This window comes from Homo sapiens, chromosome 6, assembly GCF_000001405.40.
Source record: "Homo sapiens chromosome 6, GRCh38.p14 Primary Assembly".
Taxonomy (NCBI): Eukaryota; Metazoa; Chordata; class Mammalia; order Primates; family Hominidae; genus Homo; species Homo sapiens.
This window is the reverse complement of record NC_000006.12, coordinates 122,560,365-122,573,921: the sequence shown is the minus strand read 5'-3', so window position 1 is coordinate 122,573,921 and position 13,557 is coordinate 122,560,365. Positions and strand designations below refer to the sequence as shown.

Sequence of the window (13,557 nt, the reverse complement as noted above, 5' to 3'; positions counted from 1 at the left end):
CTGGCTAAAACTTCCAGTACTATGTTGCACAGAAGTGGTGAAAGTGTGCATCCTTGTCTTGTTCCAGTTCTCAGGGGGAATCCTTTCAACTTTTTCCCATTCAGTATGATGTTGGCTGTTGATTTGTCATATGTTACTTTTATTACTTTGAGGTAAATCCTTTCTATGCCTATTTTTGCTGAGGGTTTTATCACAAAGGGATGCTGCATTTTGTCAAATGCTTTTTCTGCATCTATTGAGATAATTATTTTTGTTTTTAATCCTGTTTATGTGATGTATCACATATATTGACTTGCATATGTTGAATCATCCCTGCATCCCTGAGATAAAACCCACTTGATCGTGATGTATTATCTCTTTTTTCTTCTTTTTTTTTTCTTTTTCTTTTTTTTTTTTTTTTGAGACAGAGTCTAACTCTGTTGCCTCGGCTGGAGGACAGTGGCACAATCTCAGCTTACTGCAACCTCTGCTTCATGGGCTCAAGCGATCCTTCCACCTCAGCCTCGCGAGTACCTGGGAGAACATGTGTGTACTACCAGCGAATTTTTGTATTTTTTGTAGAGATGGGGTCTTGCCATGTTGTCCAGGCTGGTTTTAACCTTCTGGGTTTAAGTGATAAGATCACAGGCATGAGCCACTGCGCCCAGCCAATCATGATGTATTATCTTTTGGATGTGCTTTTGGATTCAGTTAGCTAGTATTTTGTTGAGGATTTTGCATCTGTTTTTATCAGAGATATTGGTTTGCAGTTTTCTTTTTCTCTTGTGTCCTTTCCTGGTTTTGGTATTAGTGTTATACTGGCTTCAGAATAACTTAGGGAGGATTCCCTCTTTATCTTTTCGAATAGTTTCAGTAGAATTGATGCCAACTCTTCTTTGAATATTCTTTGAATTCAGCTATGAATCCATCTGGTCCTGAAATTTTCTGTGTTGGCAATTTTTTCATTACTGATTTAATCTTGCTGCTTGTTACTGGTCTGTTCAGGGTTTCTAGTTCTTCCTGATTTGATCTAGGAGAATTACATGTTTCCAGGAAGTTATCCATTTCCTCTAGATTTTCTAGTTTGTGTGTATAAAGGTGTTCATACTAGCCTTGAATGTTATTTTTTTATTTCTGTAGTATCTGTTGTAATATTGCCAGTTTCATTTCTAATTCAGCTTATTTGAATGTTCTCTCTTCTTTTCTTGGTTAATCTCACTAATAGTTTATCAATTTTGTTTATCTTTTCAAAGAACCAGCTTTTTGTTTCATTTATCGTTTTTTTTTTTGTTTCAATTTCATTTAGTTCTGCTCTGATCTTTGTTTTTTTTTTCCTTCTGCTACATTTGGATTTGCTTTGTTATTGTTTCTCTATTTCCTTGAGGTGTGACATTAGGTTGTCTATTTTTGCTGTTTCAGACTTTTTGATGTAGGCATTTAATACTATTAGCTTTCCTTTTGGTACTACTTTTGCTGTATCCCGGAGGTTTTGATAAGTTGTGTCACTTTATCATTCATTTCCAATAATTTTCAATTTCCATCTTAATTTCATTATTAACCCCAAAATTATTCAAATGCAGATTATTTAATTTCCATGTATTTGTATAGTTTGGAGGGTGAGTTGCTTTTAGATCTAGCAGTAATTGTTTTATAAATCTTGGAGCTCCTGTGTTAGGTGCATATAAATTTAGGATTGTAATATCTTCTTGTTGAACTAATCATTTTGTTATTATATAATGTCCTTCTTTGTCTTTTTTTATTGTATTGTTTCAAAGTCTGGTTTGTCTAATGTAAGAATAGTGACTCCTGCTTGCTTTCAGTTTCCATTTGAGTGGAATACCTTCTTCCACCCCTTTACCATGAGTTTATGTGTCAGTTTCCATTTGCGTGGAATACCTTCTTCCACCCCTTAACCATGAGTTTATGTGAGTCCTTTTGTGTTAGATGGGCCTCTTGAAGACAGTAGACATTTGGTTAGCGGTTTTTTAATCCATTCTGCTATTCTGTACCTTTTCAAGTGAAGCATTTAGGCTATTTACATTCAACCTGAATATTAAGATGTGAAGTACTGTTCTATTCATCATATTAGTTTTTACCTAGATACTTTGTTTTTCTTCATTATGTTAATGTTTTATAGGCCCTGTGAGATTTATGCTTTAAGGAGGTTCCATTTTGATATAGATCAAGGTTTTGTTTCAAGATATGGAACTCCATTTAGCATTTATTGTAGTGCTGGTTTGGTAGTGGAAAATTTCCTCAGCATTTGTTGAAAAATACTTTATCTCTCCATTTATGAAGCTTAGTTTTGCAGAATGCAAAATTCTTGGCTGACAATTTAAGGAGGGTAAAGATAGGACCCCAATCCCTTCTGGCTTGTAAGGTTTCTGCTGAGAAATCTGCTGTTAGTCTGATAGTTTTTCTTTTATAGGTTACCTGATGCTTTTGTCTCACAGCTACCAAAATCCTTTTCTTCATGTTGGCTTTAGATAGCTTAATGACTACGTGCTTTGGTGATAATCTTTTTGCAATGGAATTTCCCAGGAATCTAAGCTTCTTGTATTTTGATATCTGTATATCTAGCAAGGCAAGGGAAGTTTTCCTCAATTATTCCTTAAAATAAGTTCTCCAAACTCTTAGACTTCTCTTCCCCCTCAGGAACATCAATTATTCTTAGGTTTGGCCATTTTACATAATCCCATATTTCTTGGAAACTTGGTTCATTTCTTTTGCTTCTTTTTTCTTTATCTTTGTCTGATTGGGTTAATTCAAAAGCCTTGTCTTCAAGCTCTGAAATTATTTATTCTACGTGTTCTTGTCTAATATTGAAATTTTCACTAAATTTTGTATTTCTCTAAGTATGTCTTTTATTTCCAGAAGTTCTGATTGTTTTTTTTTATGATATCCATCTCTCTGAAAATTTTTTCATTCATATCCTGAATTTTAAAACATTTTTTATGTTGGTTTTCACCTTTCTCTGGTTATTTCCTAGAGTAGCTTAATAATCAACCTTCTGACTTGTCTGGTATTTCAAAGATTTCATCTTGGTTTGAAGCAATTTTTGGGGAGTTAGTTTGATCTTTTGGGGGTGTTACAGAACTCTCTTTTGTCATATTACCAGAATTACTTTTCTGGTTCCTTTTCATTTGGATAGACTTTTCTTCAAAATTTTCTTGAATTTATTTTTATTTGACTGTGGTTTTTATTTAATTTCTTTTTTTCCCTCTTAGGAATCTGACTTTAACGTTTATAGTTTATTGCAGGCTAATTTAATTCTTGGTGCTTTTAGCAGGAAAGACTCTGTATGACTTCCTTAGTTATAGAGGGTCTTTGTGCACTGGCTTTTCCAGATGCTTGTTGTAGTAGTTATGTTCATGGTGTGTGGGCAAGTTCACTGTCTCATATGGGGTTGGAATGGCAAGGATTTTTGAAGCTTATCTCATTCTCCCATGGTGTATGCTTTTTTATTTACTTAATTTTTCTCCAGTGTTTTATTTACTGATTTGATGATCCAGGCTTCAGGTTAGTAGGGGAGTTATCCCTGGGTAGGCACTGGTTGTAGCTAAAGCAGGTGGGTAGATGTAATACCCAATGGTGGGCAGACGTCCCAGCCTTGTTGAAGGTGGCTGGGAAGCCCTCAATTAGATGTACAGAGGTTTTATCAGGTTGAAAGGTGGGAGCACCTCAGCTACCCTGCCAGGCCAGCAGGGAAGGCATCTACTTCCCAGCTTCATTTCTATCCCAGTGTTCTGGCTATTCAGGTTAGACAGGCTCCTCTTTTCATCTGTAAGAATGTTGATATTCTAAGTAAAGAGGAGTTGTGACTCTGCCTCTCATGAAAGCCTGACCTGGAAAGTGCTCTTCCTGTGGGGATGCAATCACCCTGACTTGTTCTAGGAAAGCTGTCTGTAGGTGCATCCATGTTGCATTCCTGTGGGAGAAGCCCCAGCTGTGTCTTCAGTGGTGTACTCATGGGAATAAGGACACCGTCTCCAAGACCCTTAATGATCAGAGAGGTTGCCTCCCTGTTGGGATAGAGGTTCAGAGCAGCACTGTAATTGTGTCTCTGCTGTAAGAAACTTCCCATTAGTGGAAAGATCTGGGACTCAAGAACTGCTGTTCAGATTCTTTTGTTCCACGGGGTGTTCCCTTGATGTGGTTCTCTCTCCCTTCCCCTAAGAATGGGAATTCCTGAGAGCCAGACTACAGTAACTGTTATTGCTCTTCTGGGTATAGCCACCGAGTGGAGTTACCAGACTCCAGACTGGTGCTGAGGAATGTCTGCAAGGGATTCAGTGATGTGACCTGTCTTCAAGTCTCCCAGCAGTGGATACCAGCACCATTTCTGACGAAGGTGGTAGAGGAGTGACGTAGACTCTGTGAGATTCCTTGGTTGATAGGCTTAGTGTGCTGGCTTTCTCAAGTGCTGGTCATAATTATTGTGAACTTGTCACGTGGACCCACTTAGAACCTTTGGTTAGCCAGGGTGTTGTACGCAGTGGTGATGAGTACAGCTGAGGTCATGCAGCCGTTTTCTCCATTCTGGACACAGTATTATTCTACCTAGAGGTGCTGTAATGGACTGTTTTGGTTGGCCTCCAGCCAAGAGATGGCACTTTAAAAGAGCACCAGCTGTGGTAGTAGCAGCAGGATTTGAGTTTGCCCTAAGTTACCCAGGGGAAGTATTCTGGTTTCTCAGGCAATAGGTGGAGCTATAAAGCTCCTTAAAGTTTATGTTCTTTGTGTTAAGCTATCAGCGTGGGTGGAGGGGCACAGCCAGTTGGGGATAGGGTTAGGCGGGTCTGTGCTCTGACTCTCCTTGGGTGGGGCTAGCCACAGGCCCTATGAGGGTCAAGGAGAGGGTTTCAGGCTACTGGGATAAAGTTCCAGAGGGGAGTATAACTGCCTTTGGTGCACAGAAGAGTTTGCAAAGGGAGTGGAGAGTATCAGGCAGCAGTAAGCCTCACCCAGCTCCCATGCAGTTGGTGAGGCCAATCTCACTCCCACAGTGCTCCACTAACAGCACTGGGTTAAGATCCAGGCAGTCTGCACACAGAACTCAGACCTGCCCGAGGCCATAAGCTTTCCACAGAGATAGCAACCTCCACTTTCTGGCCACACCTATCCCTGTCTCTCTACAAGGCTGGGCACCCAGCTCCTGTGCTCATGTCTGCAGTGCAATTCCCATTTGTGCTCCCCACTTCCAACCCTGGGTTCTGGTCAAGGGAGTTTGTTCCTACTCAAGATTATATTACAAAATTCAGTGGGGAGCTTCTTTCACCTGCAACCCACTTCCTGAGCTCACTGGCTGACTTCTTTGAGGGCCCCTGTGAGATATAGTCAGTAATGGCTTTCTTGGGTTCACACTGAAGACTGGGATTGCTTGCAAGGCACTTCCTGCTACTGCTTCTACTTTTATATTGCACACCACTCCCTCAATTTGTTCCAGCTCTGGGTAAGGTTAAGGTCTTCTCCCAAGACCTGGATTTTCAGATTTCCTGGTGGGGATATGTCCTCTGGAGGCAGACTCTCCTCTATCACACTCTGGGGACTTAACAGTTTTTCACCTGTCTCATGGAGTAGGCTTCAGCCTGTCACTTATTTCAAAGGCTCTGTGGATTCTTTCAGATTTTATGGTAAATTCCTGCACTGGTTCTTGGAAAAAAATTTATGGTGTGAATCTCTACACACTATTCTGTCCAGAATGTATCTTTTTAAACAAGTAAACATTGTCAGTAATTTTTTTACTTTAAATTAAATTTGCTTCTTTTCATCATATTACCTTTGAAACTTTTTTTTTTATTATAAATGCAATGTTGTTTGTGATAAAAGACTTGGAAAATACCAAAAACATAAAGAAGAAAAAGAGTCATTCGTTTTTTGACGTATGAAAATGTACAACTTTTATAATTAATTCTGTCTATATTTTAATTAATAATGTTAATAATAGCATATTTCAGGCACACAAAAAAAGGACATAGAGTGATATAGCTATACAGAACTGTAATGCAACTTTAAACAGTAAAACATTACTAATACACTTGAAGCCTCCTTATATAACCCTCCCAATGACATTCCTAACTACAGTAACCTCCTTCTCTCTAGAGGTTATTGTAATTCTGAATTTCGCTTTATTATTTTCAAGCATGCTCAATTGGTGTGTTTTGTTACATATTTTATATCACTTTACACTTATGAAAATTTTTGCATGTATCTCATTGCTTTGCATGTATACATTATTTTGCCTATGTTGTTTTATAAGAGTTCTTTTATGAATACTACTCTACTTATAAATTCGTTGAAGGTTGCTTTTTTCATTTAATAGTATTTCAGATTTATCTATGTTGCTACAAATAATTGATAACTCATTTTCTATTAAATTAGCTAATTTAAAAATTGAGTGAAGATAACTAATGCTGGTGTTTTATTTTGGGTTGCTCCAGAAGCTGACTCTGAGATGAAGCTTCAAGTATAGATAGTTTATCTGCACAATACAGGGAACCATGGCAAAGGACTGGGGAATAGAAACAAGGAACAGAAAACAGCCAATCAAGAGTGCATTATGAAACCAGCTACCACTGTGAGTGAATAGAGCTTAATTCTGTGGATCAGTATAAAGCACACACTTCAAAGGGTATCTTTTCACCAACTCTCATCAGCCACTATTTGAGGACTGCTCCCAAGGCATGTTAATTTCCTAGCATTTCTGACTTGCAGCACACACTCGGAGAGAAATGCCTTCTGCATCTCAGAAAAACTCCAAGCATAGAGATAACAGGCATCAGCAATTGGAAGTCACCTGAGTAGACTAGAATGGTATAGTCTGAGAAATATGAGCAGGCCAAGGGCAGCATCTACCACAGCTGGTGACAGCCTATTGAAATTTTTACCTCTATATATTTCTGAGGACATTGTAAATTGCCACAATTATTTTGGGAAGACATTTGACACTGTATATCGAGCCAGGAGTTCAAGGCTGCAGTGAGCTAGGATCTTGCAATTGCACTGCAGCCTGGGTGACAAAGTGAGACCTTGTCCCCAGTTTAAAAAAAGAAATGTTCCTACTAAGGGAAAGTCCATGAAAACAATTATGTGTACACTCATTGAAGTGTTATTTATAATGTTAAAAATAATAAATATTCTAAATATCCAACCACATAAGAATGGTTAGGAAAGTTATGTATGCCTGCTGGATGAAGTTTTGCTATTAAAGTTGAGAATTATGAATATTATATTGCTATATGAGAAGATGTTTGTGCAGGGGGATAAAGAGAAGGAAGGAAGGAAGGAAGGCAGGAAGGAAGGGAGGGAGGGAGGAAGGGAGGAAGGGAGGAATTATTTCAAAATGGTAATACAATTTTCTGGGAGTAGGCCTATATTATTTTATTATTTTTGGTTATAATATTTTTAGTATAAAAATAATGTATTTTAAAGGAACATAAGCATTAGTATAAAGATCATTCAAAAATATTTTAATAATATCTGTTATCTACATATGAGTTTTGAGGCTATATATAAAACCTCACCTGTTATTAAAAAAATCTTGTGAAATAATTGAGTTCAGTATTAATGTCCTTATTTTACAGATAACAAAACTAGGCTCAGAAAGGGCCAAATGGCTAGAAAGTAATGGAACTGTGGTCAGACTATATTTCTTCTGACTCCTGGCCCAGTGTTCCTCATGACAGTGATGAACACTGGTTGTGTTTGCTTCTTCAATACCCCTTTTATAATAAGTGAACTTCTTTTTTTATTTCTTTTCCTCATCCCTCATCTTCAAGGGTGACCCAAGCCTGTCTACTAAAAGTCCAACACCCAATGATTAGCACAGGATTGGGCATGTGACCCAAGTTAGGCAAATCAAAGTCAGCTCAGTACTTGAAAAAAAAAAGATAGCTTCTTCCATTGGGGGTAGTAAACTGTTAGAAGATGAAAAGCCTGAAGTCACTTATAGCCACAGTTTGTCAGCTCATAAAAGATGTTGCCTAAGAGTGAAGAAAAGTCAAAGGAAAACAGAGGTAAAAGTGGTAAGAGACAGATTTGTGATGATGTCATTAAAGCACTCACAAATTCAGATCTGGCCATGCCTCAGGCTACCCTTGGCCTTTTCAGATTTGTGAACCAATTCATACCTTTTTCTTTAAATTAAAATTGGGTTGCTGTCACTTTCACCTAAAAATATCTTGGCTAATATGGAAGACAGTTGTTGTTACTGGAAAATCTTAAAAAGTTGAATTGGCCAAGTTGAGGTGGACAACAGGGAAGTTAGTGTTTTTTACAGTAGCTATAGGGTAGTCCATCCATGCTATACAGTAGAAAAGTAGACAGTTAAACTGGTTAAACTGTTACCTGTCATACTCTTAGACTCATGTGTCTACTGAGACTATAACTTTAAGGAACTTGGTAGAAAAATGTCAGGATACTGGAATATCTTAGCCAGTTCTCTCAAGCTTACCTGTTTAAAAGCAAAGACAAAAGAAAATACAACCTTGATTTATATCTGCATCTAACAATCTGAGACAGCTGAGATTCAAATAACCATGAGCTTTGAAAATCAAAAAAGGCAAAATCTTTACCCCAAGAAAAAGTTAGTGCAAAGGAAACTCAGAGAGGCTGACAAGAACATTGAAAATAAGAATAGAATCTAGGGGAAGCTATGATATGATCTCCAGGACCTTCCCAAGAACTTTGAGTGGTATTTTCTGCCAGAAGAAGGTGTTAGCTATGATATTGTAGGTAAAAATGACAGTAACTCCAATTTAATTATCTTATTTAAAAGGCAGTAAAAAAATTCCCTGTCCTGCTACCTAGAGATATGAGGAGAATTAGTTATCACTTCCAATCCCAACTAATTATTCGGTGCCACTTACAAACCATTAAGCTAAAAGTTAAAATATGGGTAAGCCATTGAGGTCTAATACTAAGAAACAGAAATCACAAACTCACACTTCTCTTGAGACTATGCTCAACATGGTCTCAGTTTCCAGTAACTAGTCTATATCATTAACTAAATACAGATTAGCTGCATACCTCCCAAGGCTGTAAGAAATTTTTTCTTCCAGAGAAACCCTAACACTGGCGGCAAATGCTTGGAAATACCCAATTCCTAAGCGTTTCCTACACCACCAAAATTTCACCAATGGGAAGTAGGTCCCTAACCTACAGCAGCCACCAAAAAAGGGTCCTTCCCAATGTCAATAGCAAATGTCAAGTAATTTACTTAAGAATATGAAACTGTTAAATAAAATCCTCCATGATGCAGATTGGCTGACCAAGGAGCTCACTACCCTTCCATGCAGAAAGAATTTGCAAACTCTGATGAGTAAAACCACTGTTTATTAATTTCCCGCTTTTCTCATTTGTGTGAAAATTTTATTAAATTTTATATTTTATTTACTTTATTTTATCTATTATGTTATATTGTAGGTGGTTAAACAAATAAACCACTTAGTCATAGACTGCTCAAGCATGAGAAGCTACCTTTAAGACTGACAGACAAACACAAAGCAAAGCTCTTACTAGAGGTACATAGAGTAAATGTGTGTGCTTTGTACTTTTTAGAGAGGAGATGGAATTCTAGGATCATCATGACAGATGGGAGGCAGGACTAGAGTGCAGCTCCGGACAGAACAGCTTGCAGAAGCTTGCATTGTGAATTTTAGCTCCAGATCAAGTGCAAGAACAAACCAGCAATCCCGAGAGGACCCACAGATCCTCTAAAGGAAGTGGACTGCTCCTGCAGGACCCTGGAGATACCCCAAAAACTGTGAGTGCCCCAACTGCAGAAGTGGGAAAGGGAAACCTTCCTCTCCCGAACACACATATCCACTGGAAAAGTTGAAGGTCTGTTTGCGGGAGAAGTTTCCGACCTTACCTGGAGCTGAGCCAATTTAGAGAGCCAAGTGAGGGTAAAACTACATAGGGAGAAAGAAATCCCTAGCAGAACTTTGTAATAATATGAACCCGATGAGAAGCCTCCTTGCCAGAACTTGGGGGAAGGTGTGCAAATCTGGTGTGCAGACTCCACCAGCAGGGGAAGAACCAAGCCTTCTTCTCTCACAGCTGGGAGGCGGGAGATTTCAAGCCTGTCTTCCCCTCTGCCTGGAAACAGACTTGGGGCTGTTGTCGCGGGGAACAGTGGGAGTGAGACTGACCCTTCGGTTTGCATGGGAGCTGGGTGAGGCCTGTGACTGCTGGCTTTCCCCCACTTCCCTGACAACCTGCATGGCTCAGCAGAGGCAGGCATAATCTTCCTAGGTACACAACTCCAGTGACCTGGGAATCTCACTCCTATCCCCTACAGCAGCCGCAGCAAGACCCACCCAAGGAGAGCCTGAGCTCAGACATGCCTAGTCCTGCCCCCGCCTGATGTTCCTTCCCTACCCTCCCTGGTAGCAGAAGACAAAGGGTATTAATCTTGGGAGATCTAGGGCCCCACCCACCACCAGTCCCTCTCTATACTCCTACAGCTGATGCTTTCTGGAAAGCGCCACCACCTGACAGTAGGCCAACCAGCACAAAAATAGAGCATTAAACCACTAAAGCTAAGAACTCTCATGGAGTCCATTGCACCCCCTGCCACCTCCACCAGAACAGGCACTGAGACACACAGCTGAGAGACCCAAGGGCAGTTCACATCACAGGACTATGTGCAGACAACCCCCAGTACTAGCCCAGAGCCAGGTAGACTTACTGGGTGGCTAGACCCAGAAGAGGGACAACAATCACTGCAGTTTGACTCACAGGAAGCCACATCCACAGGAAAAGGATGAGAGTACTACATCAAGGGAACACCCCATGGGACAAAAGAATCTGAACAACAGCCTTCAGCCCTAGACCTTCCCTGTGACAGAGCCTACCTAAATGAGAAGGAACCAGAAAACCAACCCTGGTAATATGACAAAAAAAAGCTCTTCAACACCCGTGAAAAATCACAGTAGTGCACCAGCAATGGATCCAAACCAAGAAGAAATCCTTGATTTACCTGAAAAAGAATCCAGGAGGTTAGTTATTAAGCTAATCAGGGAAGGACCAGAGAAAGGTGAAGCCCAATGCAAGGAAATAAAAAAAAAAATGATACCAGAAGTGAAGGGAGAAATATTCAAAGAAATAGATAGCTTAAGGAAAAAAACAATCAAAAATTCAGAAAACTTTGGACACACTTTTAGAAATGTGAAATGCTCTAGAAAGTCTCAGCAATAGAATTGAACAAGTTGAATAAAGAAATTCAGAGCTTGAAGACAAAGCCTTCTAATTAACCCAATCCAATAAAGACAAAGAAAAAAGAATAAGAAAATATGAACAAAGTCTCCAAGAAGTCTGGGATTACGTTAAATGACCAAACTTAAGGATAATTGGCATTCCTGTGGAAGAAGAGAATTCCAAAAGCTTGGAAAACATATTTGGGGGAATAATTGAGGAAGACTTCTCCAGCCTTGCTAGAGACCTAGACATCCAAATACGAAAAGCACAAGGAACACCTGGAAAATTCATCACAAAAAGATCTTTGCATAGGCACTTTGTCATCAGATTATCCAAAGTTAAGACGAAGGAAAAAATCTTAACAGCTGTGAGACGAAGCACCAAGCAACCTATAAAGGAAAACCTATCAGATTAACAGCAGATTTCTCAGCAGAAACCCTCCAAGCTAGAAGGGATTGGGGCCCTATCTTCAGCCTCCTCAAACAAAACAATTATCAGCCAAGAATTTTGTATCCAGCAAAACTAAGCTTCATATATGAAGGAAAGATACAGTCGTTTTCAGACAAACGAATGCTGAGAGAATTTGCTGTTACCAAGCCACCACGACAAGAACTGCTAAAAGAGCTCTAAATCTTGAAACTAATCCTGGGAACACATCAAAACAGAACCTCTTTAAAGCATAAATCACACAGAAACTATACAGCAAAAATACAAGTTAAAAAGCAAAAAAAAAAAAAAACAAAAAAAAACAAAAACAAACAAAAAAAAACTATGCAGGCAACAAAGAGCATGATGAACGCAAGGGTACCTCACATTTCAATACTAACATTGAATGTAATTGGCCAAAATCTCCATTTAAAAGATATAGAACCATGGAATGGGTAAGAACTCACCAACCAACTACCTGCTGACTTCAGGAGGCTCACCTAATACTTAAGGACTCACATGAACTTAAAGTAAAGGGGTGGAAAAAGGCATTTCATGCAAATGGACACCAAAAGCGAGCAGGGGTAGCTCTTCTTATATCAGACAAAACAAACTTTAAAGCAACAGCAGTTAAAAGAGTCAAAGACGGACAATATATAAAGGTAAAAGGCCTTGCCCAACAGGAAAATATTACAATCCTAAACATATATGCACCATACACTGGAGCTCCCAAATTTATAAAAAAAAAAAATTACTAATAGACCTAAGAAATGAGATAGACAGCAACACAACCTCAGAATACACATTCTACTCAATTGCACATGGAACTTTCTCCAAGATAGATCATATGATAGGCCAAAAATGAGCCTCAATAAATTTTAAAAATTTAATAAAATTAAAATTATATCAAGCACTCTCTCAGACCACAGTGGAATAAAACTGAAAATCAACTCCAAAAGGAACCTTCAGAACCATGCAAATACATGGAAATTAAATAACCTGCTCCTGAATGAGCATTGGGTCAAAAACGAAATCAAGATGGAAATTTAAAAATTCTTCAAACTGAACGGCAATAATGACACGACCTATCAAAACCTCTGGGATACAGCAAAGGCAGTGCTAAGAGGAAAGTACATAGCCCTAAGCGCCTACATCAAAAAGACTGAAAGTGCACAAACTGACATTCTAAGGTCATACCTCAAGGAACTAGAGAAACAAGAACAAACTAAACCCAGGCCCAGCAGAAGAAAGGAAATTACCAAGATCAGAGCAGAACTAAATGAAATAGAAAAAATAAAAATAAAAAAGATAAATGAAACAAAAAGCTGGTTCTTTGAAAAGATAAATAAAATTGATAGACCATTAGCAAGACTAACCAAGAAAAAGAGAGAGAAAATCCAAATAACCTCACTGAGAAATCAAACAGAAGACATTACAACTGACACCACTGAAATACAAAAGATTATTGAAGGCTACTATGAACACCTTTATGAACATAAACTAGAAAACTTAGAAGAGATAAATAAATTCCTGGAAAAATACAACCCTCTTAACTTAAATCAGGACGAATTAGATACCCTGAACAGACCAATAACAAGCAGCGAGATTAAAATGGTAATTTAAAAATTACCACCAACAAAAAAAAGTGCAGGACCAGATGGATTCACAGCAGAATTCTACCAAACATTCAGAGAAGAATTGGTATCAATCCTTTTGACACTATTCCACAAGATAGAGAAAGAAGGAACCCTCCCTAATTCATTTCATGAAGCCAGCATCACCCTAATACCAAAATCAGGAAAGGACATAACCAAAAAAGAAAACTACAGACTGATATCTTTGATGAACACTGATGCTAAAATCCTTAACAAAATATTAGCTAACCAACAACATATCAAAAAGATAATCCACCATGATCAAGTGGGTTTCATGCCAGGGATGCAGGGATGGTTT

General features: G+C 38.7%; 1 protein-coding gene and 1 long non-coding RNA gene across 5 annotated transcripts in view, besides 2 other annotated features; one reads left to right on the top strand and one right to left on the bottom strand.

The window, feature by feature from the left end:
* PKIB (cAMP-dependent protein kinase inhibitor beta) overlaps positions 1-13,557 on the bottom strand; it is a 254,453-nt gene that overhangs the window by 152,452 nt on the left and 88,444 nt on the right. The window lies entirely within an intron of this gene.
* Positions 5,343-11,750, top strand: LOC124901391 (uncharacterized). Its single transcript, XR_007059732.1, has 3 exons — positions 5,343-5,431; positions 6,420-6,556; positions 9,538-11,750. It is a non-coding gene; the product is annotated as an uncharacterized LOC124901391 (long non-coding RNA).
* Positions 9,593-10,129: an enhancer, noted in NCBI's record as "H3K27ac-H3K4me1 hESC enhancer chr6:122884938-122885474 (GRCh37/hg19 assembly coordinates)". NCBI's record gives its function as "activates a minimal SCP1, AML or CMV promoter by ChIP-STARR-seq in naive H9 embryonic stem cells {active_cell/tissue: H9 hESC(naive)}" and the evidence as "EXISTENCE:reporter gene assay evidence [ECO:0000049][PMID:30033119]".
* Positions 10,130-10,667: an enhancer, noted in NCBI's record as "H3K27ac-H3K4me1 hESC enhancer chr6:122884400-122884937 (GRCh37/hg19 assembly coordinates)". NCBI's record gives its function as "activates a minimal SCP1, AML or CMV promoter by ChIP-STARR-seq in naive H9 embryonic stem cells {active_cell/tissue: H9 hESC(naive)}" and the evidence as "EXISTENCE:reporter gene assay evidence [ECO:0000049][PMID:30033119]".